Source organism: Homo sapiens, chromosome 10 (assembly GCF_000001405.40).
Source record: "Homo sapiens chromosome 10, GRCh38.p14 Primary Assembly".
NCBI lineage: Eukaryota > Metazoa > Chordata > Mammalia > Primates > Hominidae > Homo > Homo sapiens.
Window position 1 is genome coordinate 26,587,380 of NC_000010.11, and position 22,771 is coordinate 26,610,150.

At 39.6% G+C, this 22,771-nt stretch overlaps 1 long non-coding RNA gene across 1 annotated transcript, besides 3 other annotated features; it reads left to right on the top strand.

Annotated features, from left to right (window-relative positions):
* Positions 1,419–1,918: an enhancer, noted in NCBI's record as "H3K4me1 hESC enhancer chr10:26877727-26878226 (GRCh37/hg19 assembly coordinates)". NCBI's record gives its function as "activates a minimal SCP1, AML or CMV promoter by ChIP-STARR-seq in naive H9 embryonic stem cells {active_cell/tissue: H9 hESC(naive)}" and the evidence as "EXISTENCE:reporter gene assay evidence [ECO:0000049][PMID:30033119]".
* On the top strand, positions 2,486–6,945 carry FAM238A (family with sequence similarity 238 member A). The gene is made up of 4 exons (NR_026793.1): positions 2,486–2,958; positions 3,931–4,034; positions 5,471–5,587; positions 6,555–6,945. It is a non-coding gene; the product is annotated as a family with sequence similarity 238 member A (long non-coding RNA).
* Positions 6,197–6,740: an enhancer, noted in NCBI's record as "H3K4me1 hESC enhancer chr10:26882505-26883048 (GRCh37/hg19 assembly coordinates)". NCBI's record gives its function as "activates a minimal SCP1, AML or CMV promoter by ChIP-STARR-seq in naive and primed H9 embryonic stem cells {active_cell/tissue: H9 hESC(naive and primed)}" and the evidence as "EXISTENCE:reporter gene assay evidence [ECO:0000049][PMID:30033119]".
* Positions 6,635–6,684: a silencer, noted in NCBI's record as "silent region_2237". NCBI's record gives its function as "represses an Ori minimal core promoter by ATAC-STARR-seq in GM12878 lymphoblastoid cells {active_cell/tissue: GM12878}" and the evidence as "EXISTENCE:reporter gene assay evidence [ECO:0000049][PMID:35858748]".
* Positions 6,946–22,771: the final 15,826 nt, after the last annotated feature.

The window sequence follows — 22,771 nt, forward strand, 5'->3', positions numbered from 1 at the left end:
GCTTGTCTATAAAAGAGGGGATTCTTATGAGGCTTCCGTAAGGTAAATGAGTAAAAATTTGGGTGGACAAAATGCCTTTAATTTAAAAGATAGGGTTGTTATGAGGCTTCGATAAGGTAAGTGTGTAAAAATCTGGACAGAATGCCTATAATTTTGTTAGTGTTCAATATATAGAGAAGGATTATTTTTCTCTAATTTTTAGAGCAAGTTTCTAAAATGGTGTTACTCATATTTTTGAGATAATCAAACCAAGAATCACAAAGATTAAATGAGTCACCATGCTCACAAAGCAGTTCACAATACATTTAGTGGATAATTGCCATTTAAAAGTAGCAGTGATGATCACATTTAAAATCTTGTATTATGTGGTGCTTTTCTCTTACATAAGCCTCTTTGTTTGTTGAAGCCATAGATTCTAATTTGTTGTATCAAAGTGATCACTAGAAAACTGTGATATACTTAGTGTATACATTTCAGAAAGTGTCCTCTATTACTCGTAGCTCGTGGCAATGTGTTTTTCTGAAAGCACATGCAGAAATATGTCTTTTTTCAGGTTGAAAAATCTCAGAGGTTATGGGGGAAAGGGGCTCTATGAATATAGGAGGCAGATTTGGGTTCAGTAATTTTAGCATCATTCATTGTAAGGTGATGATCCCTAGGAACTTCATCACACTGAGCAACATGAAAGCTCCTAGCAGCCAGCAATAAATGAAAGGTGGGGCGGGTCCACTGGCAGGGTGGGGCCTTGTAAGCCTGGTGCTTAAGCTCTGAATTCCACGTTGGGGGGGACACATGCAAAGGATTCTGGGCCTGATTGTTTCCTCTAACCCGGATGTGTTCTGGTTGGCAGGGCAACTGGCCTTCACTTGGTGGCTTTCAGTGGGTGCCCTCATTGGTTGCCTTTGGTTAGTGCCCTCAGTTGGTACCCTCAGTTGTTTCTCTTCAGTTGGTGGTCTGCAGTTCATGGTTTTCAGTTGTTGGGCAGTGGTGGAAGGAGGATGAATCTGTGCTCTCTCCTCCCCAGGCCACAGCTCTCAGGCTTGTTGCATCCAGTCCCTTCTAAAATAAACCGGACAAGTTGGCAGTTTTTTTTTAGCAGACAAGTCAGCTCAGAGTACGGGGGTGACACAGGGTGCAGGCTGCTAGCACAGTGCCGCCCCATGGCCCAGGGCTGCCCGTGCTGGCAATGCTCTTGCCAGCAAGAGGCGAGAGTTGTTGAGGTCTGCAGACTTGGGGGCAAGTGAAGGCCCAAGCTGCCCGAGAAGAGCAGGGGTGTCCCATGGGGACCACACTGAACTCTTGCATGTGCACCAAAGCCAGCCCCAATCATGGCCGGCACAAGGGTTCTGCAGGACCAGCCTGTGGCTCTCATGTCTACCAGCGTACAGACAGCAAAGACACACGACACGATATACAGGAGCAGAGGCGCCCAGAACACGCTGTCCCCCAATGCCAGCCACAAGCGGGGCCAGCTCAGGGTGTAGTGGGTGAAGCCGTCCTGCAGCTCTGTGATCCACAAGGCGGAGGTGGCAGTAGCACAGGACTCCACCGCTTTGGAGGCTGCCCAGTCGAATTTGGGAGCCAGTGAGAGTCCTGACAGCAGCACATTGGCCACCAGAAGACACCCAAAGGTAGGGAGGCGGCAGATACTGCTTAAGTTCAGGAGCTCCTCTGGCCATTGCTCACCCAAGGTTCCCCCCAGAGGCATCCACAGCCTGGGGCTCCTTCCTCCTGCCTGGAGTTTGCTTTCCTATGCCCAGGCCCCAAGCAGGAGGACTGGCTCTGCCTCGAGTCCTCACCCCTTCTTCTTTCCCTGCTGTGTCCAGCTGGTTTCTTACTTTCCTCCTACCTATGCTATGCCCAGTTCTGTTTCCTCTTCTTCTTCCCCCAGGCTGGCTGAAAACTAAGTTTCAAAATACAAAATGCATGCTACAGATTTCATTGCTGTAGATGAAATGCTGACAGCTTTTCTATTTAAACTCTGGTTGTTCTCTTCATTTCTTTAAACATTAGAATAATTAAGCCTCATGATAGATGTGCCTTTGTAACTTGAAAGTATGACCCTCAATTTTCACAATTTAAAAAAATTTTTTAATTTTTCTTTTCATAAATTTTTGGCAAACAGGTAGTATTTAGTTATTGAGTAACTCCTTTAGTGGAGATTTGTGAGATTTTGTTGCACCCATCACCCAAGCAGTACACATGGAATCCAGTTTGTAGTCTCTTATCTTTCTCCCCCTTCCCACCGTTTTCCCCCGAGTATCATTCTTTTTTTTGAGACTGAGTCTTATTCTGTCACCCAGGCTGGAATGCTATGTCGCGACGTCAGCTCGCTGCAACCCTTGCTTCCCGAATTCATGTGATCCTCCTGCTTCAGCCTCCCAAGTAGCTGGGATTAGAGGCGTGGGTCACGACGCCCAACTAAATTTTTTGTATTTTTAGTCGTGACTGGGTTTCACCAAATTGGCCAGTCTGTTCTCGAACTCCTGACCTCAAGTGATCTGCCTGCCTTGGCCTCCCCTAGGGCTGGGATTATAAGAATGAGCCACCAGAACCCAGCCAAACTTCCCCCCACCCCGCCTTTTTGTTTTGTTTTGGTTTTTTCTAATCTCCTGAAGTCATTCTTTGAGTTGTCATGTAGATTAATGGGTTTCTCAAACTACTAGAAAACTAGTTGAAGAAATAAACAGGCAGTTTGTGAATATTAAACAGAACAGTGGTGCTGAGCATGGCTAAAGCATCTCTGCATTCACAGGGAGAGGAGCGGAAGACCTTCTGGTGTGGGCTGGGCAGCAATTCACTTGAAGGAGAAACAGCCCGGGTGTGGAGAGGCGGCTGTCCTTGGAGGGATCCTTTCTAAGGAGCCGAGAAATCAACGTAGAGCTTCCTCTATCTGATTCTCTAACAACTGCAGACCTTCCATGAGTCAAGCTTTGTGTCAAAAGGACAAATTAAAAGGCAAGAAAATAAAATCATAATACCAGGACTTTTGGGGAAACCAAAACAAAACAAAACAAAAAACACATCTAATTCCAGATTATTTCAGGGACCCGCACATTTTGCCCAAATCTCTGTCTATTGTTTCTGTGTCCAATGTACTCTTTGTTGTTGTTGTTTATCTGTTTTTTGTTGTTTGTTGTTGTTGTTTTTGTTAAGACTAAGTCTTGCCCTGTCGCCAGGCTGGAGAGCAGTGGCGTGATCTTGGCTCACTGCAACCTCCACCTCCTGGGTTCAAGCGATACTCCCGCCTCAGCCTCCAGAGTAGCTGGGACTATAGGCATGCGCCATCATGCCCAGCTAATTTTTGTATTTTTAGTAGAGACAGGGTTTCACCATGTTGGCCAGGATGGTCTCAATCCCTTGACCTCGTGATGTGCTCACCTTGCCTTCCTGAAGTGCAGGGATTACAGACCTGAGCCACCACACCCAGCTCAATATACTCTTTATTAAGGACAATGTTCAAAAGTTGTTCCTGTACTCAGCACGGTATGAAACTAGATAAATACATTTTAGGGAAATCAACAATAGAATTTTTTTGAAAGAAAATTGGTTTTCAAGGTTAATTCTTCAATTATCAAAAGCTTTTCAAAAGTAAAACATACTATTCCTCTCCACAATCCCAGTTAATCCAGACCCTCCTCAGTGGGCTTTATCAAATACCGTACTCACCTTCCTGAATCTTTTGCTGAATCTCATATAAAGTTTTGTCACAGAACCTCAGATTTTTCATACGGTTTTGTGTACCACGTCATGCCTGTGAATTGCTCTCTTTGCTTTGTTTTTATTTATTTATTTATTTTTTTGTAAGAAGTAGCCAGGAAGTATCTTTCTTTGCTTTATAGATGTAAACTGCTTTGTATTTTCAGATTAACTTTCAAGAATGTTGAAAATTCTTTGCTCACTCTTCTTTTCTCACTTCCTCCCTCTCAGGACCTATAAAAGGCATCACCAAGCCCAGTGGACAGATGCCCCAGGCTGCACATTCTGTCAGTGCTGTTCTGGAAAAGGCCCAAACACATGCTGAAACATGGAAGGTAAAACCAGCAAGCAGCTGACTACATTCCATCCAGCCGTCCCCCAAAACCCATGTTCTCAACCATTCGCATTGTTCCAATAACTGCTCTTTTAAAAAGAGAAAACAGGCTAGGTACGGTGGCTCACGCCTGTAATCCCAGCACTTTGGGAGGCCGAAACAGGAGAATTGCTTGAGCTCCAGAGTTCCAGACCTGCCTGGGCAACAGAACAAGGGCTCATCTCTACTAGAAGTCAAAAAATTAGCCAGCTGTGGTGGCGTGCACCTGTGGTCCTAGCTACTTGGCTGGCTGAGGTGTGTGAATTGCTTGAGCCCAGGATTTCAAGGCTGCAGTGAGCTGTGATCACACCACTGCACTCCAGCCTACATGATAGATAAAGACTTTGTCTTAAAAAAAGAAAAAAAAGATAAAAAAGGGTTACACTAAAAATGTGCATTTTCTATTTTCCCCATTAATGTCCTACATACATCCCCAGGGTGATGGAGGAGAAAATACATTTTAAAATAATAGCCAATAGGTATGACATCCTCCATAACATTTTTTTCAACCAAATAGATCAATGAGGATTCACTTAAATCTATCTTAAAATCATAGCTAATAATTATGATTTAGTTACTTACCTAGTTCAAAACCTCTCAGTTGACTGTATAAATTCTCTTGACTATTTCTCATGTGTGATTCAAAACAACCTTAAATAACTGTGACAATAGCATATCACCCAGCTAGGACAGGCAGGATGCTTCACTTTAGCAATTTTTCACTTCTTTCACCCCTTCATGTTGTCCATCAGTCAGTTATGAAAACAACTAAATCTTTGTATTTATTGAACTTCTTATAATTTTGACAACCACTGCAGGCCTGTAAAAGTTGTATTTCTTTAATGTTCTCTTTATCTTCTCATGCCTGCGCTTCTCATGCAATGCCCTTTCAGCTATTATTATTTTCATTATTTTTGTAGTGCCAATTGAAGGAAAGCATTTTAAAATGCTGAAAGAAATAAAAGAAACCCAAAATAGAAATCACTTAACTATATGTGAACATCAGTACCCAAGCTGCCTGTTCGGAAATTTTTTAAAAAGGAAAAAGTACATCACCAGTTAATTAGCTTATCATGCTAAATGAACAAAATAAAATAGAAACTAAATCAGAAGGCACTTCATTAGAAAAAAAACTTCCAAATTTAATCTTCAGTGGTAACAGGCTATTAAGCATAGGAAGAAATAAACTGGAACCCTGATGAAATGTAAATTGGAATGACAATTATCACTAAAACAGAGGGATTCAATCCAGCTGCCTGGGGATGTTTCATTATATAAATACAAATTATTATTATCTATGCCAGTATTGGCAGAGGAAGGGCTATGTCTCTATTAGACTTTAGCCAAATTTGGCATTCTGGTTTCTACCAATAGCACACTGGTAATTTTTCTTTTCAGAACTCATTTATGTATCTCATTTGATCTCATCACAACCTGAGACACAGGTCATAATAGAGACTTCGGGGCTCATTTTATACCCGGTGAACCAGCCAACTTTCATGCAGTTGAGAAAAGGTAAACTGTCCAGATAACGTGGCTCACACCCGTAATTTCAGCACTTTGGGAGGCCGAGGTGGGCAGATCACTTGAGCCCAGGAGTTGGAGACCAGCCTGGGCAACATGGCAAAAAAACCATCTCTACAAAAAATACAAAAATTAGCTGGGCATGGTGGCACATGCTTGTCATCCCAGCCACTTGGGAGGCTGAGGCATGAGGATTGCTGAGCCCTAGAGGCAGAGGTTGCAGTGAATCGAGCTTGCACCACTGCACTCCAGCCTGGGTAACACAAAGACCTGTCTCAAAAAAACAAAACAAAAGAAAAAAAAAGACCAGGTGCAGTGGCTCATGCCTGTAATCCCAGCACTTTGGGAGGCAGAGGCAGGCAGATCATGAAGTCAGGAGTTCGAGACCAGTCTGACCAACACGGTGGAAACCCCATCTCCACTAAAAATACAAAACTTAGCTGGACGTGGTTGCCAGCGCCTGTAGTCCCAGCTACTCGGGAGGCTGAGGCAGGAGAATCACTTGAACCCAGGAGGCAGAGGTTGCAGTAAGCCAAGATGGCACCACTGCACTCCAGCCTGGGCGACAGAGCAAGACTCTGTCTCAAAAATAATAATAATAATAATAATAATAATAATAATAATAGTCATTTAGAGTCATTTCCCTATTCCAGAGCAAAGATGAGCTCATGAACAACCAGGGGTCTTAGTAACTGAAGGTTGGAGGCTCCCCAGGGGGCAGACAGAGACTCACATATCTATGGCATGGTCCTGTCCATTGGGGCTGTTTTGTCAAGAATAAAGAATGCTACTCGGGAGACCGAGGCGGGAGGATTGCTTCAGCTCAGGAGGTCGAGGCTGCAGTGAGCCCAGATTGTGCCATTGCACTGACAGAGTGAGACCCTGTCTCCGTTAATTAATAACAATAAATTTAAAATTTCAAAAAATTTAAAATAATGCTGCTGTCGCTTGATTACAGTATAAGAAGCCAGCCCTCGGGAACCACCAGGAGCCAGGAGCACCCCGGCCCCGCAGGGCCCCAAGTTCAGCCTGCCCCAACCCCTCTGGTGCAGAGTTCCTGGGACACCATCTGCAGCCCCGCCACGCCCCTCAAAGTCAAGGGCACAGGCGGCTGGGGCTTCCCCGCCCGCCCGACGACTTCCTGCTGCCCCAGCAGCCGCCACAGTCACCACCACGGCCCCTGGACGACCCAGAGCTCCTGCTGCCGCCCCCTGACTTCATGGAGGCGCCCCAGGACTTCGTGCCCCCTCCCCCTGCTGTCGCCAAGAGGCCTCCTATGCCCCACCCCCACAAGAGGCACGAAGCATCAATGTTCAGATGCCGCAAATGAATAAAATAAATGAATAAAAGTTCAACGTTCTTCCTACGGTATTTCTAGAAAGATTACTGGGTCAGTCGATCTGGATGTCAATACTATAATTGAAAATAGCTCCCAGGGAAACCGAAAGATTGGACACCCCTGCAGGCTAAATGGAAATTTAAAATGAAGCGAATTTAGTTTTAAAACCAAAATATTTAGTAATTAAAACTGGCAAGGTGTTCTTAATTTTTTGAGCATATGCTTGAAATAGGATAGAAGGTAAATTTGCTTTACATTAAATTTTATCTCAGGAACAGTAACTCTCCAGTTTTAGTATATTATGTTCTTTTGATATAAGATACAGTATTAATACGGCTTTTCTTTTTAAATTTTTTTAAAATTTTATTTTCCTTTTAAGTTCCAGGATACATGTGCAGAACGTGCAGATTTGTTACATAGGTAAACGTGTGCCATGGTGGTTTGCTGAACCTATCAACCCATCACCTAAATATTAAGCCCAGCATGTGTTAGCTATTTGTCCTGATGCTCTCCCTCCCCTCAATCCCCCACAACAGGTCCCAGTGTGTGTTGTTCCTCTCCTTGTGTCCATGTGAAAAACACAGCTTTTCTGATACCTGACTACATAATGGTCATTATGCAGATCTCTGGGACAATACAGGAAAGGTTCAGCGAAGAGAGCTATGAAAGTTGTCAGAATCAAAATGGGGTCACTCATGTTAACAAAACGCTGACAAATAGAACCAGGCAAGTCCATGAATAGAGGGTTCTCATGAAGATCGTCAACCCTGTGATTTTCACTCAAGTGGAACACAATCTTTGGTGTCTGGCTGAGAGGTCTTTACAAGAACTACCTATACCTGAGTGGGATTATTTAGATTGACCCTGAAAATGCAGCAAACTTTGCTCCTTTATGAAAATTTTAGTGAGATAGTGGAGGTGGGGGGAGTGTAAAAGCTGGGGTGAAATTGGACATTAGAGAGGAAGTGCAAGGATAATAATATATTATGAACAGTATATAATTAATAATATAGGGCAGTAATGCTATATCACAGCTTATGAAAACTCCATAATTTCTTTTATAATGCTGCCACTGGGGCAAAGACCCATGTAATAGGCCAACTGCAACAAAAACCACAAGGTTTGGTAGCGTTTACAGGAAACACGATTTAACCCGCCACATGATAGAATATGAACTAAGATTTTACAGTAGGTCCTCAAAGAGGAGAACGAATATTTAAGCCTCATATTTTGTTTGATCACAGGAATCTTGGCTGCTATGATACTGAAATGACCTAAGTCCATGATAATTGAGCCTTTAAAGTGTGTTTGAGACTTATGGCTTGATGTGTGATCCATTTTTACCGATGGTTTATGTGTGCTTGGGTACAATGTAGTATACATGTTCCTTAGAACAAGCTTGTGAAGTATGTTGCACAAATCTTCTGCCTGCAGCCTGTTATCTGGTCTGTCGCATCCATCAATTACTAAGAAGAATGTTTTAAAATCTTCTGAGGGCAGATTTGTCAATATCTTTTCATTGTTCTGGCAAATTGAGCTTTATATATTCCGACACTGTTTATTATTAAGTGTAAACAAAAACTATGTATGTGACTTCCTGGCGAATTGAACCGTCTATCACCATGCAATGTTTTCTGCTTTTTATCTTGTACTCATGCAGCTATACCATCTTTTTTCAGGTATTTGCCTGACAAATCTATTCATTCACTTTCAAACTCTCTATGACTTTATGTTCAATGTTTGCCACTTGTAAATGACATATGGCAGATTTTGTTGTGTTTATATCTCGTTCAGGGATTATTATCTTTTAACTGCAAATTTATTCTTTTTACTTTTTAAATTTTCTTTCTTCTTTTTTTTTTATTTTTTATTTTAAGAGTCAGGGTCTCATTCTGTCACCTCGGCTGGAGTGCAGTGGTGGGATCATAGCTCACTGCAGCCTCAACATTCTAGGCTGAAGCCATCCTCTTGCCTCAGCCTCCCGAGTAGCTGGTACTATAGGCTTATGCCACCGTGCCTTGCTAATTTTTATTTTTTGTAGAGATAGGAGTCTCACCATGTTGTCTAGGCTGCTTCCTAACTCCTGGCCTCAAGCAATCCTTCTGCCCTGGCCTCCCAAAGTGTTGGGATTACAGGCATGAGCCACCATGTCCGGCCTCTTCTTATTACTCTTACTGTGTCCAAAACTTCAACCAAAGTTCCATATAATATAATAATCACTGATGCACTAGATTATATGCTTTATTGATTTTTTTTTTTTGAGACAGAGTCTCTCTTCTTCAGTCAGACTGAAGTGCAGTGCCGTGACCTTGGCTCAGTGTACCCTTCACCTCCCGGGTTCGAGTGATTCTCGTGCCTCAGTCTCCCTAGTAGCTGGGATTACAGGTGTGTGCCACCATGACCAGCTAATTTTTTTGTATTTTTAGTAGAGATGAAATTTGGCCATGTTGGCTAGGCTGGTCTCAAACCCCTGATGTCATGTGATCCACCTGCCTCGGCCTCCGAAAGTGCTGAAATTACAGGAATGAGCCACCTTGTCCAGCTGATCATAGGCATTTTCTATTTTTTTGAGACAGGGTCTCTCTCTGTCAACCAGGCTGGAGTACAGTGGCGTGATCTCAGCTCACTGTAACCTCCGCTTCCCAAGTTCAAGTGATTCTCCTGCCTCAGCCTCCCGAGTCGCTGGGACTACAGGGGCGTACCACCATGCCCAGCTAATTTTTGTATTTTCAGGAGAGGCGGGGTTTCAGCATGCTGGCCAGGCTGGTCTTGAACTCGTGACCTCAGGTGATCCGCCAGCCTTGGCCTCCCAAAAGTGCTGGGATTACAGGTGTGAGCCACAGCGCCCGGCCTAATCATAGGCTTTTTAATGGTGGGAATCAAATTCATCTTTGTGGCTTTAGCTTTAACAATTTGACTATGCAAAAAGGCACATAATAGGGACTTGGTATGTGTTTGCTAAATAACTCAATTTAGTGCTGGGGAAAGAATTACAGCCAACCTAATTTTTTTTCCTTTTTTTTTTTTTTTTCTGAGACAGAGTCTCTCACTCTGTCACCAGGCAGGAGTCCAATGGCACGATCTCGGCTCACTGCAACCTCCACCTCCAGGGTTCAAGCAATTCTTCTTCCTCAGCCTCCTGAGTAGCTGGGACTACAGGCACCTGCCACCACACCCAGCTAATTTTTGTATTTTAGTAGAGACGGGGTTTCACCATGTTGGCCAGGATGGTCTTGATCTCTTGACCTCACGATCCCTTGACCTCATGATCCGCCAGCCTCAGCCTCCCAAAGTGCTGGGATTACAGATGTGAGTCACCGTGCCCAGCCCAGCCAACCTAATTTTATTGCAGATGCAGATATTTCAGGGCTTATAAAAAATCTCCTTTGCAATATAAACCCAATCACACAATGCTAGAGCTATCTAGGGTAACATACTTAAATACATGGAAATATTCTATCTTAGGACATCAGCTGTTTTCTCTTAGGAGCCTGATGACCTTATTCTTTCCAAAGAAACCATAGAAGTGGAGGCCAGGTGCGGTGGTTCACTCCTGTAATCCCAGCACTTTGAGAGGCTGAGGTGGGCGGATCACGAGGTCAGGAGTTCGAGACCAGCCTGGCCAACATGGTGAAACCCGGTGTCTACTAAAAATACAAAAAGTAGCTAGGCGTGGTGGTGGGTGCCTGTATTCCCAGTTACCCAGGCTGAGGCAGGAGAATCATTCAGTCTCCAGGAGGCAGAGGCTGCAGTGAGCTGAGATAATGCCATTGCACTACAGCCTGGTGATAGGGCAAGATTCTGTCTCAAAAAAAAAAAAAAAAAAAAAACTACAGAAATGACTACTTCCCTACCAATCTTTATAGTTACAGAGCTAAAGACCATCAAAAACATCATCATCTTTAAATATAAAATCAACAATCACTGTTCTGAGTATCATAGTAAATCAAATGCATTTCTTTTTTTTAACCCCGTTATCTTTTCCTCCTTAGCACTTATCTCCTAATATTCAATATAACTTATTTGTTTTGTTAATTTGTCTCTCCTACCAGAAGTAAGCTTCATGGGGGCACAATTATTTTTCCTGTTATTTTTCATTGCTGTGCCCTTAGCACTTAGAACAGTGTCTGGCACATACTGAGAACCTAAATATTCAATAAATATTTGTTGAATGAATAAACTCTGCAGGGAAAAACAGGTACAAAAGTGATGGAGACAAGGGTAGGAGCAAGATGGCTTAATGAATATCATTTTATATCACTTTGACTCTGAACTATGTGACTGTAGTACCAATATATTTTTTAATTAAATTAAGGAAACAATAGATGGAATGTAAAATTTCTATCTTTATCAAAACAATATTTTTGCTACTGGGGTTAATAAAATCACTCTATGCTTGACTTCCATCTGGAATCTTGTTGTACTGTTGCACTGAAAACAGGCTCAGTTTTAGATTGGAGGAGTTGGGGGAGAGGAAAGGTAGGAAGAGAAATATATTTTGTCTTCTAGCAAATACGTTAGAGACACAGAAATAATTAAAATGTGGTCCCTGGCCTCCAGGAGCTCAATGACTAGTAATTGAATCAATCAATATTTAACATTTGATATAATATTAATGTACTCAGAATATCATTCACACTTATTCATATACATACATATGATATTTCAATTTGAGCAATTATAAACATTGCAAATTTTTCTATGTATTATTTACTGCTGCATAAAAAAGGCAACCATGTTCCTTTTTCTTTTCAGTTGAAATTCAGAATAAGAAACCATGCAGTAGATAGACAGAGATTAAAATATCAGCTTACTACTGATAAAAGCTAGCCTGGAGAATATTGCTCAGGTGGTAAAGAGGCACAATGATATGTTACATGCAAATGAATATCAATCATCTGTTGGAGTAAAATAAAAACTGTACTAACAGTTATGCAAAGATTCAGAGAATATATCACCTATCCACCCTGTTTGGGCAAAACACTTAAGAAAGTAATCAAGACAGGGACTTGAAGATGGAACCATGAGAAAAGGATGGTGGTGAGCAGAGAAATGACTCCAAGTGGGGGATGGGGGAGTGTCAAAGGCAAAGACACTTTAAACAGAACAGATACACTTCAAGGGAAAAACTAATAATCTAAAGTTCAAAATATTAAACTATCTTAACAAAATCTAGCAGCTACGTAACTAGATGCAAAACATGAAAATATTCGAAGGTCTCATCTTATTGGGATGAAGGGGAAAGCAATGGACAAATAGAATCTTAGTGCGGAAAAATATCTAAAAACTTGTTTTCCCATGAAAATGGCAAAAAAAGAAGATAACCATGAGAGGAACTGTAGCAGTCTTTTTCAGTTGAGTTTCCAAATCAATAGGGGGCGGGGTGTCGGGGAGAAGAATGAATTTCAAATCAGAAAAAGATAAGAAAGTCTGGGTGAAGCCAACAGTTAAATAAAGATGAAGTACAATGTAAGACAGAAGGAATAAATCACATACATCAATTGTTATAATAAATGTGATCAGCCTACATACTTCTATTAGGACAGAAACTATCACATTGAATCGAAATCTGTTTATACATTCTTTTTGCAAGAAGAACACTTTAAAACAAATAATAAAGATAAGTAGATAAAGGTAAAAAGTAAAGAGATTTGAGGAAAACTCAACAAAAAGAAAGCATGAATGGCAATATTAATGTCAGGCGAATTGAAATCAATAGTTATAAGTATATTTCCAAATAAATGGAATCATTGTTAAGATAAAAGCCTGTTTTTTGAAGAAAATAGAAGTAAAAAATCTGTATGTACCAATAATACAGAGCAAAATATGTAACTTTCAAACAATTAGAAAAAAAACTTGGATAAAAATATAATTAAAGTAGGCACTTTTAATACACACCTCTTAAGATTCTCACTTGTCTCTGTAATCCCAGCACTTTGTGAGGCCGAGACAGGCAGATCACCTGAGGTCAGGAGTTCGAGACCAGCCTGGCCAACATGGTGAAACCTCGTCTCTACCAAAAGTATAAAAAAAAATTAGCTGGGCATCGTGGTGGGTGCCTGTAATCCCAGCTACTCGGGAGGCTGAGGCAGGAGAATCGCTTGAACCTAGGAGGTGGAGGTTGAAGTGAGCCGAGATAGCGCCACTGCACTCCAGCCTGGGTTATAGAGCAAGACTCCATCTCAAAAAATAATAATAAATAAAAATTAAAAAAGAATCTAACTTGTCTAACAGACAGAAAATAGAGAGGCTCATAAAGGACTTGAATAATGTAATCAATACACTCAATTTCATATCTTAAAACTTCTCACTACACAATACATATTTTTACCTATAATCACCAAACACGTCCAAAAATGTTTTATGTTGGGCCACAAGGAAACCTTAATACATTTTGAGTAGGAGAGTTTTACCAAACATATTATTTAGTCATAAAAATACAGACAAAATAATTCCAACTACTTAGAAATTAAGAAATACAGTGATTTAAAAAAAGAAATACAGAGGTAAATAACTCTTGGAATAAACAGGAAATAAACAGATTTCACAGCATCTAAAAAGCAATAAGCAAGAAAAAACCATATCCCAGTTCCAAGGATGAAAAAGCCCAAAATGAACTACAGAAAAATATATAGCACTAAATAATAAGATAGTTTTTTAGATGTTAGTTTCTTAATTTCAAAAAATCATTATACAAATATGTTTTCACACAGATTTTATCAGTAGGTTGGGGATTTACTCACAGCTGCTTTTGCCTAGAGTACAGCAATGGGTTTAGAGCTTGTAACAACTTGTTAAAATTAAACATCCCAATATTGCCTGATTTCCTACTTTACATTGGAAATTATTATATTTATTTATTTATTTATTTATTTATTTATTTATTCTGAGACAAGTTCTTGCTCTGTCACCCAGGCTGGAATGCAGTGGCATGATCCCAGCTCACTGTCACCTCCATCTTCCAGGCTCTAGTGATCCTCCCGCCTCAGCCTCCCAAGTAGCTGGGAGACCACAGGCATGTACTACCATGCCCAGCTAATTTTTTAAATTATCTGTAGAGACAGGGTCTCCCTGTGTTGCTCAGGCTGGTCTTGAACTCCTGACCTGAAGGGATCCTCCTGCCTCAGCCTCCAAAAGTGCTGGAATTACAGGCATGAGCCACTGCCCCCAGCCACAGCAAGGATAATTATAATAAATAGCTTCTTTCTTTGTTTATAAGCTTATATTTAAACATATGAATCTGTAATTATTAGATAAAAATCTTTCTGGCATTATTTAAGTTGAAGGTAATAGAATACACTAAAAGCTTTTAAAACATGAACATTTGTCTAATAGAGAAATCTATTTCTATCCTGTAGGAATTTCCAGTCTATCACATATGACTTCAATCTCCAACTCAATAGCATGTCCTCCGCAACACCTCTGATCTCTCCAGTGCCAATACTGGATTTCTGTTACCTCCATTTCATATATTAGTGGAGTGAGAGGTTAAGTAACTTTCCAAAGGCACAGAGCTATTAAGGGTCAGATGCGAAACTCAAAATCTCACCTGTTTGACAACATGTTTCCTGGTATACCTCATGCCATCTTCTCCAGCATTTACTGGATTTTGATTTGGATTTTTTTTTTTAAAGACAGGGTCCCGCTCGGTCACCCAGGCTGGAGGGCAATGGCACCACTGTAACTCACTGCAGCCTCAAACTCCTAATCTAAAGAGTTCCTCCTGCCTTGGCCTCCCAAAGTGCTGGGATTACAGGCGCTAACCAGCATGCCCGGTCCTTATAATATGTATTCTCTGAGGGCAGAGACGATAAAGGGCTCATCGTTGTATCACTTAATGGCACCCACAAGATCTGGTAGGCACATAGAAATGACCATTTTATAAACGAACCCAATTCTTTCTACTACCCCGTCACTGTGTTATCTATAGCAGTTTACCTGAGATAACTTGTGATGATATTTTAATGAAATAAGGTGTGTATGTATGCACACATACACAAATTGTACATACCGGAATTACAGGCTTCCATAAAAGCAAACGGACCGTAGTGAATTGCAATGGATAAAAAACTGAGGTTATCAGTATTAAAAACACCTAAAACAACAACAAGAATTCCAAAACATGATGACAAAATATTTTTCTTTTACCTTAATTAAATTATCCAGAATAGAAAAGGTTATGGAAATGCCATATGTTTTAGAGATGAAACAAAATGACATTATCAATTGAAAGTCTAACTGGTAATATCAAATAGCTTAAAATGTTAAACTATATTTTAAAATTACATTTAGACTTTTGTTTTATACTCGCCTCCCAAAAATTTCAAAAACTATAATAATAAAAGGCCAAAAAATAGAACTTCCTCTTTTATTTATTCTCAATTCCTAGCAGTTGTTTAAAACTATATATATTATATAAAATGGAATTGAGACCAGTGCAGGAATAAGAGTAATTTTTGGAGATTGTGAAAAGAGGAAAAAATAAAAATATGAGTCATTTTTAGGACAGTAGGAGAATGGGTAGCCCCTTTTATTGCTGGAGACATTTGTACATCATAGAAAAAAGTCCAGAAAAATTAATAATAAAATGGTTAACAGTGATTACCTTGGAAAATGAAGCTCTACTCACTTCTATGTATTGTAAATTATTTACCATAAGCATATAGTAATTTATTAAAAATTTAAAAATTGCTTTAAAGAGATACTTACTCATATACATAATGTTACAGGTAACATCATCCTGATCTGTTCAAAACCATTTTAAACATGGAAAACATCTTTCTCTGTCATTAAAAACCAATTTGTAGACAGTAGCCCCCCCTTATCTGCAGAGGATGTGTACCAACACCCCCAGGGGAATGACTGAAACCACAGATAGTACCAAACTCTCTATATACTATGATTTTTCCTATACATACCTATGATAAAGTTTAATTTATAAATTAGGTACAGTAGCAGATTAACAACAATAACTAATAATAAAATAGAACAATTATAAAAACATGCCAGCATCACTACTCTTGCACTTTGGGACCATTGTTAACTAAAATCAAGGTAACTTGAACACAAGCACTGAGTCCTGCAATGGTCCATAGAACTACTCAGCTACAAGTGACTCATGGGATGAAGTGACTCATGGCCAGGGAGTGTCTCCAACATGGATAAACTGGACAGAGAGAGAATTCACATCCCAGACGAGACGGAGCAAGACTTCATCATGCTACTCAGAATAGTGAGCACTTTAAACTTATGAATTGCTTATTTCTGGAATTTTGCATTTAATATTTTTAGACCATGGTTGACCACAGGGAAGTGAAATTGTGGAAAGAGAATGCAGATAAGGGAGAAACTTCTGTATTACAAATGCTAAGAAGCTCAATAGGAATTTTTTAAATTCACAAAAAACGAAGCCTTCTACTTCAACAAATTCTACTTTCTCATCAGAAGAATGAAATATCTGTAGATAACTTACCACAAGCAAAAACTAACAGACTTCCACAAGACAATAAGTTGTGCTGTCTCAGATACCACAATAGAAAAAAAAAATCCTAAAATGAAATTTAGAGATTTCTCGGGTTTTTAGCAATGTATGCTCTTTTAGGATCCTCTGATAAGTCACAAGAAGCATATAGGAAAACTTCAAAGGTGGGTCAAAAGATGACTAAAGGAGTGGAAATTAGTACAGGTAAGAAAAATCCAGAAAAGTAAAATTATGCATCCAGAAACAATACATAAGAGGCTTAGACACAGTATCATGGTCAAGCTTCTCCATGGCCAATAACCAAAGTAAAAGCAACAGAATTCAGCACAAGGGAGTTAACTTTCAGCAATGTGAGTTATTAAACTTCGAATGTGTCACCAAGAAAAATAATGGAATTCCCTTCTCGGTGACAGTTAAAATAATGGAAAAGCTTTAGGAAGAGCAAAAAATTTCCACAAGAATAGAAAAACATATTTTGCTATTATGTATTATGTTTACTTTAGAACTACTATGATAGAAATATTGGTATATGTAATGTGTGACGAAAGAATGTATGTGATCAAGTTATAAATGCTGCTCAAAAAAATCACATATACTGTCAGGATGTAGGAACACCTGTTCTTTTTTTCTAGGCATCTTTTAAGCAAAATAACTGCCTTGTCTATGCCTTGTTTAAGAAGTGGTGCATCTTAACTTCCTGTAACAAAATATTCTAATGGTTCTGCACTTCCTTTGCTAGCTTTAGTGTTTTAAATTCTAAGCAGTAATCTCCAGTGTTGGCAGGCCAACGAGAGAAAACAAGAGAATTGCCTTTCCTCTTTAAATGCTTACCACGTGGGGTTGTAAATTAGGTCAGCCATGTGGAAAGCAGTTCGGAGATTCTCCAAGAACTTAAAACGTAACTACTGTTCAACCCGGCAATCCCATTACTGGGTATATATCCAAAAGAAAACAAATCATTCTATCAACAACACACCTACGTTCGTCACAGCACTATTCACAATAGCAAAGACATGGAATCAAGTCAGTGACTATCAACTATGGGTTGGATAAAGAAAATGTGATACATATAAATCATGGAATACTATACAGCCATAAAAAAGAATGAAATCATGTTGGTGTGCTGCGCCCATTAACTTGTCATTTAGCATTAGGTATATCTCCTAATGCTATCCCTCCTCCCTCCCCCCACCCCACAACAGTCCCCGGTGTGTGACGTTCCCCTTCCTGTGTCCATGTGTTCTCATTGGTCAATTCCCACCTATGAGCGAGAACATGCGGTGTTTGGTTTTTTGTCCTTGCGATAGTTTGCTGAGAATGATGGTTTCCAGTTTCACCAACATGGCACATGTATACATAAGTAAGAAACCTGCACGTTGTGCACATGTACCCTAAAACTTAAAGTACAATAATAATAACATAAAAAAATTTAAAAAAAAAGAATGAAATCATGTCCTTTGAAGCAACATAGATATAGCTGTAGGCCATTATCCTAAATGAATTAACACAGCAACCGAAAACCAAATACTGCATATTCTCACTTATAAATGGGAGCTCAACATTGGGTACTCATGGACATAAAGATGGCAACAATAGACATTGGGGACTTCTGGGGAGCGGAAGCGTTGAAAAACGATTGGGTATTATGCTCACTACCTCGGTGAGGGGATCAGTCATACCCCAAACCTCAGGGTTATGCAATATGTCCATGTAATAAACCTCCACATTTCCCCTGAATCTAAAATAAAAGTTGCAATTATAAAATTAAAAAACAAATAAATAAATATTTCCCACGTATCTATTAGGTTCTTTGACATCCATCGAGGGATAATGTTGCTCTATGATGAAGTCAAATAATCCCCTGGAGATAAAAAGGACATAGTATCGGTGTCCCTCAGAACACAGCATCCAATATCCAGGTACCTAAATCCCTCGACATCTATGAATTCATTAGATCAGGCTCAAGATGTTAAAACTTGAAGAATAAGGTTTTACTGCCAAAACAGCCAAAAAGCAATATTTCTTCAATATCAATCAAAAATGAAAATATGTTTCTAAGATCATATGAGATTCTACCTTATGTTACAAATTTGATTACTTCAATAAACATCCATTGGGTACCTGCTGTACCTACTGTATGCTAAGCCCTGGGCAAGTGCTAGGAAAAAGAATGGTAAGACCCAGAACCCAGACCTCAAAGAGTACATGCTCTACTAGGGAAGAAGAACATATGAAGAAATCATGATGTTACATTATAATAAATGCAATACCAGAATTATATAAAATGAATAGCGATAACAGAGCAGAGAATGATTATTTGTGGTAGGTCATTTAAGGCTTCACACATGAGGTGACAAAAAATTGGCAAATGTCTGAGGTTAAAATATTTAAAGTTGTACCAGGATTCAGCAAACATGTAATAAATAAAATATATAAAGTGCAAATGTATCATACTTTCTATTCTCATTTTAACCAACTATTCTAGTTACCTGCCTAACCACTAGCATGGACTGCACTGAATAAGAGGAAATCTGGAAGCAAATTTCAGCTGTAGATATGATTTGGAAATCACTAAAACCCAGTTAAAATAGTAAGTGTAGATTAGCATTTGTCTAATATCTATCTATGTCTCATATGTATATACACACACCATACACTGTATATGAGAGTATGTCATATTAGCCAGTGGAGGCATGTCAAGGATGAAGTGCTTAATCATATGCATTAAATGCTAGGGAGATCCGTGAACTATAACTGAAACATGACCACTAGATGGAGCAATTTCAGTGACATGGTGTGAATCCAGGCAGAACTGACCCAGAAAGCAAATGGGTAGTTAGAAATAATGCCTTGTTCAATTCCCACCTATGAGTACATATGTAACTAACCTGCACATTGTGCACATGTACCCTAAAACTTAAAGTGTAATAATAACAAAATAAAAAATAAAAAAAAAAGAAATAATGCCTCGTGAAAGTAGACAACTCTCCACGGGCCAGGATGACCAGAAGCTCAGTAAATGTTGCTGAGGTAAGAGACAGAGCAGCTGTGACAAGTGCGATGACTTCTTTGCTCTTATACATTTCCTTCATTTTGTTCGCATATTCTTCCTGGTCCAAATCTGTATTTACTATGCTGAAAACTTTAATATAGGATCCATATTCTAAATGATCCTAGTTTGTGTAAGGCATTTTTTCTTAAGTATTTCCAATAACTTTTAAAAACTACATTAACTTTTAAAATGGAAACAGAACTCCTCGTAAAGAAGGTTTTTTTGTTTGAAGGAACATCTTGCTAAGTCTGCTTGAAGAAGACGGGATTTTGTAAGCACACATGCCAGCAGGTACCAAAATCTCGGAGAATGATGGAAGCCCCACTGTATGAAAGGGGAAGAATTGATTGCTTTTGCTCTTTTGAAAAAAAAAATTCCTCCTCCATCTTCCCTACAGAAATCTTCAGCAAGACGCTCTCTGTTCTTAAAGACGTTGTGTGCATTTGGTTTGCTGTTTGTGTTCATCCTTTTGATGAGGCTGAGTTTCACATCTGGGTCAGCCTAGTAGGAAATAGGTACTATCACACATATCAAAGCTGGAGTCCAGGTAGAGGGGAGACACAAGACAGAGGATACACCTGGGGAATCCCAGGAATTGGGAAGAGAGTTTTGGATTTCTGGAGGCTACAGAATTGAGCAATTTGAGTCACTTCCCGTACCTCCCCAGTGTATGAGTGGTACGGAGGCCCTCATCCGTAACTGGGGTGCATCCTACATTATAAGTTTTTTGAGAAACGGGACTGTTGGGTCTTATACTTCTTTTTCTAATCTCCTAAAAAACCTACATGGCATTAAGCACAATAGAAAATGTTACAAATATTTATTTGAAATATTGTATTTTATTTATAAGAAAACAGAAAATACTCAACTTCACAGCACATAAATAAGCATTTTTTCCAACTGTCTTGTACAATTTTTTAAAATGTAATTTCTTATTCAGACTTAAAAAAAGAAGAAAATCTTGCCATTTGCAACAACATGGATGAAGCTCAAGGACATTATGTTAAAGTGAAATAAGCCAGACACAGAAAGACAAATACTGCATAATCTCACTTATATGGGGAATCTAAAAAAGTCAAACTCATAGAAATAGAGAGTGTAATGGTGGTGAGCAGCGTCGATGAGGTAGGGGAAATGGGGAGATGTTGTTCAAAGGACACGAAGTTGCAGTTATAAGATGAATAAGTCCTGAAGACCAAATGGATAGACTGTGGTTGATAATAACACCTTGTACCTTTGAAATTTGCTAAGAGAGCAGATCTTAAGTATTCTCACCACAAAAAAGTAACTATGTGAGGTAATGTATATGTTAATTAGCTTCATTGTGGTAATCATTTCAAAACATATACATATATCAAAACATCACATTGTACACCTTAAATGTAAACAATTTTTAATGTCAATTATACTTGAGTAAAGCGGGGGGAAAATGGTCACTTTCATAGTTTAAAAAATGTAATTTTCTTAAATTCTTGGTCATCAATCATAGACTTATAAAATAAAACAAGCAACAAACAAAAATGTAATTTTCTAACCTCAGTAAATCTAGTTCACTAAAATGAGCCAAAATTTCTAATGATCCAACTCTGAACCATGATTCTGCAGCACACAGCACTACTGCGCCTTAAAGAGAAACATTTATTGGCCTGGCGTGGTGGCTCACACCTATAATCCCAGCAATTTGGGAGGCTGAGGTGGGTGGATCACGAGGTCAGGAGTTTGAGACCAGCCTGACCAACATGGTGAAATCCCGTCTCTACCAGCCTGACCAACATGGTGAAATCCCATCTCTACCAAAAATACAAAAAAAAAAAAAAATTAGCTGGGTGTGGTGGCAGGCGCCTGTAATCCCAGCTACTCAGGAGGCTGTGACAGCAGAATCACGTGAATCTGGGAAGGCTGAGGTTGCAGTGAGCCTAGATCATGCCACTGCACTCCCACCTAGGCAACAAGAGTGAGACTCCACCTCAAAAAAAAAAAAAGAGAAACATTTATTTTAAAAAATTATTTTAATAAAAAATAAAATAGTCCCTGAGATTATCAGAAAAATAACTAATTTACATCCATAAAGGATCAGGGGCATTTCTTTATTCCTTAAAGAATGAAACAGAATGTCCAGAATCACACTTTTACAGCCAGCAAGCCTCTAATCTAGCTAAAGGCTGAGAGAGGGGCTCCAAACTCTTGATTCCCCACTTGTCTCATCAATAGTGACTATTTCACTGTACTTGATCCTGAATAAGGGAATGAATTATTTATTTTGCATATGTCCTTAACATAAATACAATCAGTAAATACAACTCACGTTTCTTTCTCATAAGGAATGCTGTACTTACAGGTGTTTAGATGTCAAGATGAATTCCACACCAGGGTGACAGCCCCTGCCCTGTGGCTGCTGTCCTTCAATACAGTCCTGCACTCACTACCTCTGGGCCTTTGTTGATTCTCTTCTCCCTTCTGCCACACAACCCACTCCCTGTCCTCCCCCTTCTGAAATCCTACCTAACCTTCTACTCAAGATCGATTTCCTCTTCCTCCATAAAGCTAACCTGATCCATCTCTCTTTAACTGACCTCTGATTTTGTATAGTTCATTTGTTCCATGTGTTAAATATTTTTTCTTCAAAGACTGTGATTTTCTTAGGACCAGGGACTATGGCATACTTATTACTCCCAGGCTGGGCATGGTGGTTCACACCTGTAATCCCAACATTGTGGGAGACCAAGGCGGGAAGACTGTTTGAGCCCAGAGTTCAAGACCAGCCTGATCAATATAGCAAGACCTCATCTCTACATAAATTAATTAATTAATTACTTAAAGAAATACTTATTACTCCTGGACCCTTTAAAGTATAGCCCAATGGTAGTCACAGAAAAGGGCCAATAAGTAGTTTTGGGTTGACTGGATTATTCATACAGTCAGGACCCATTCACAATATTAATCTGGATATTTATGTTCATGTGTCTTTTTTTGAGCAATAAAATGCAGTCACTTTCAAAAAACACATGAGCTTAATCTATTATTCTAAATGTTTACTTCATGAACAGCCACTGAATCACATTCCTCAATATTAACACTGAAAGACACAGGGGGTTCTAGTCTAACCTCATTTTATTTTATTTTATTTATTTTTTTGAGACAGAGTCTCACTCTTCCACCGTCATTGGAGGGCAGTGGCATGATCATAGCTCACTGCAGCCTTGATCTCCAGGCTCAAGCGATCCTCCCACCTCAGCCTCCCGAGTAGCTGGGACTACAGGTGTGCACCACCAAGTCTAGTTAATTATTTTTCTAGTTTTTTTG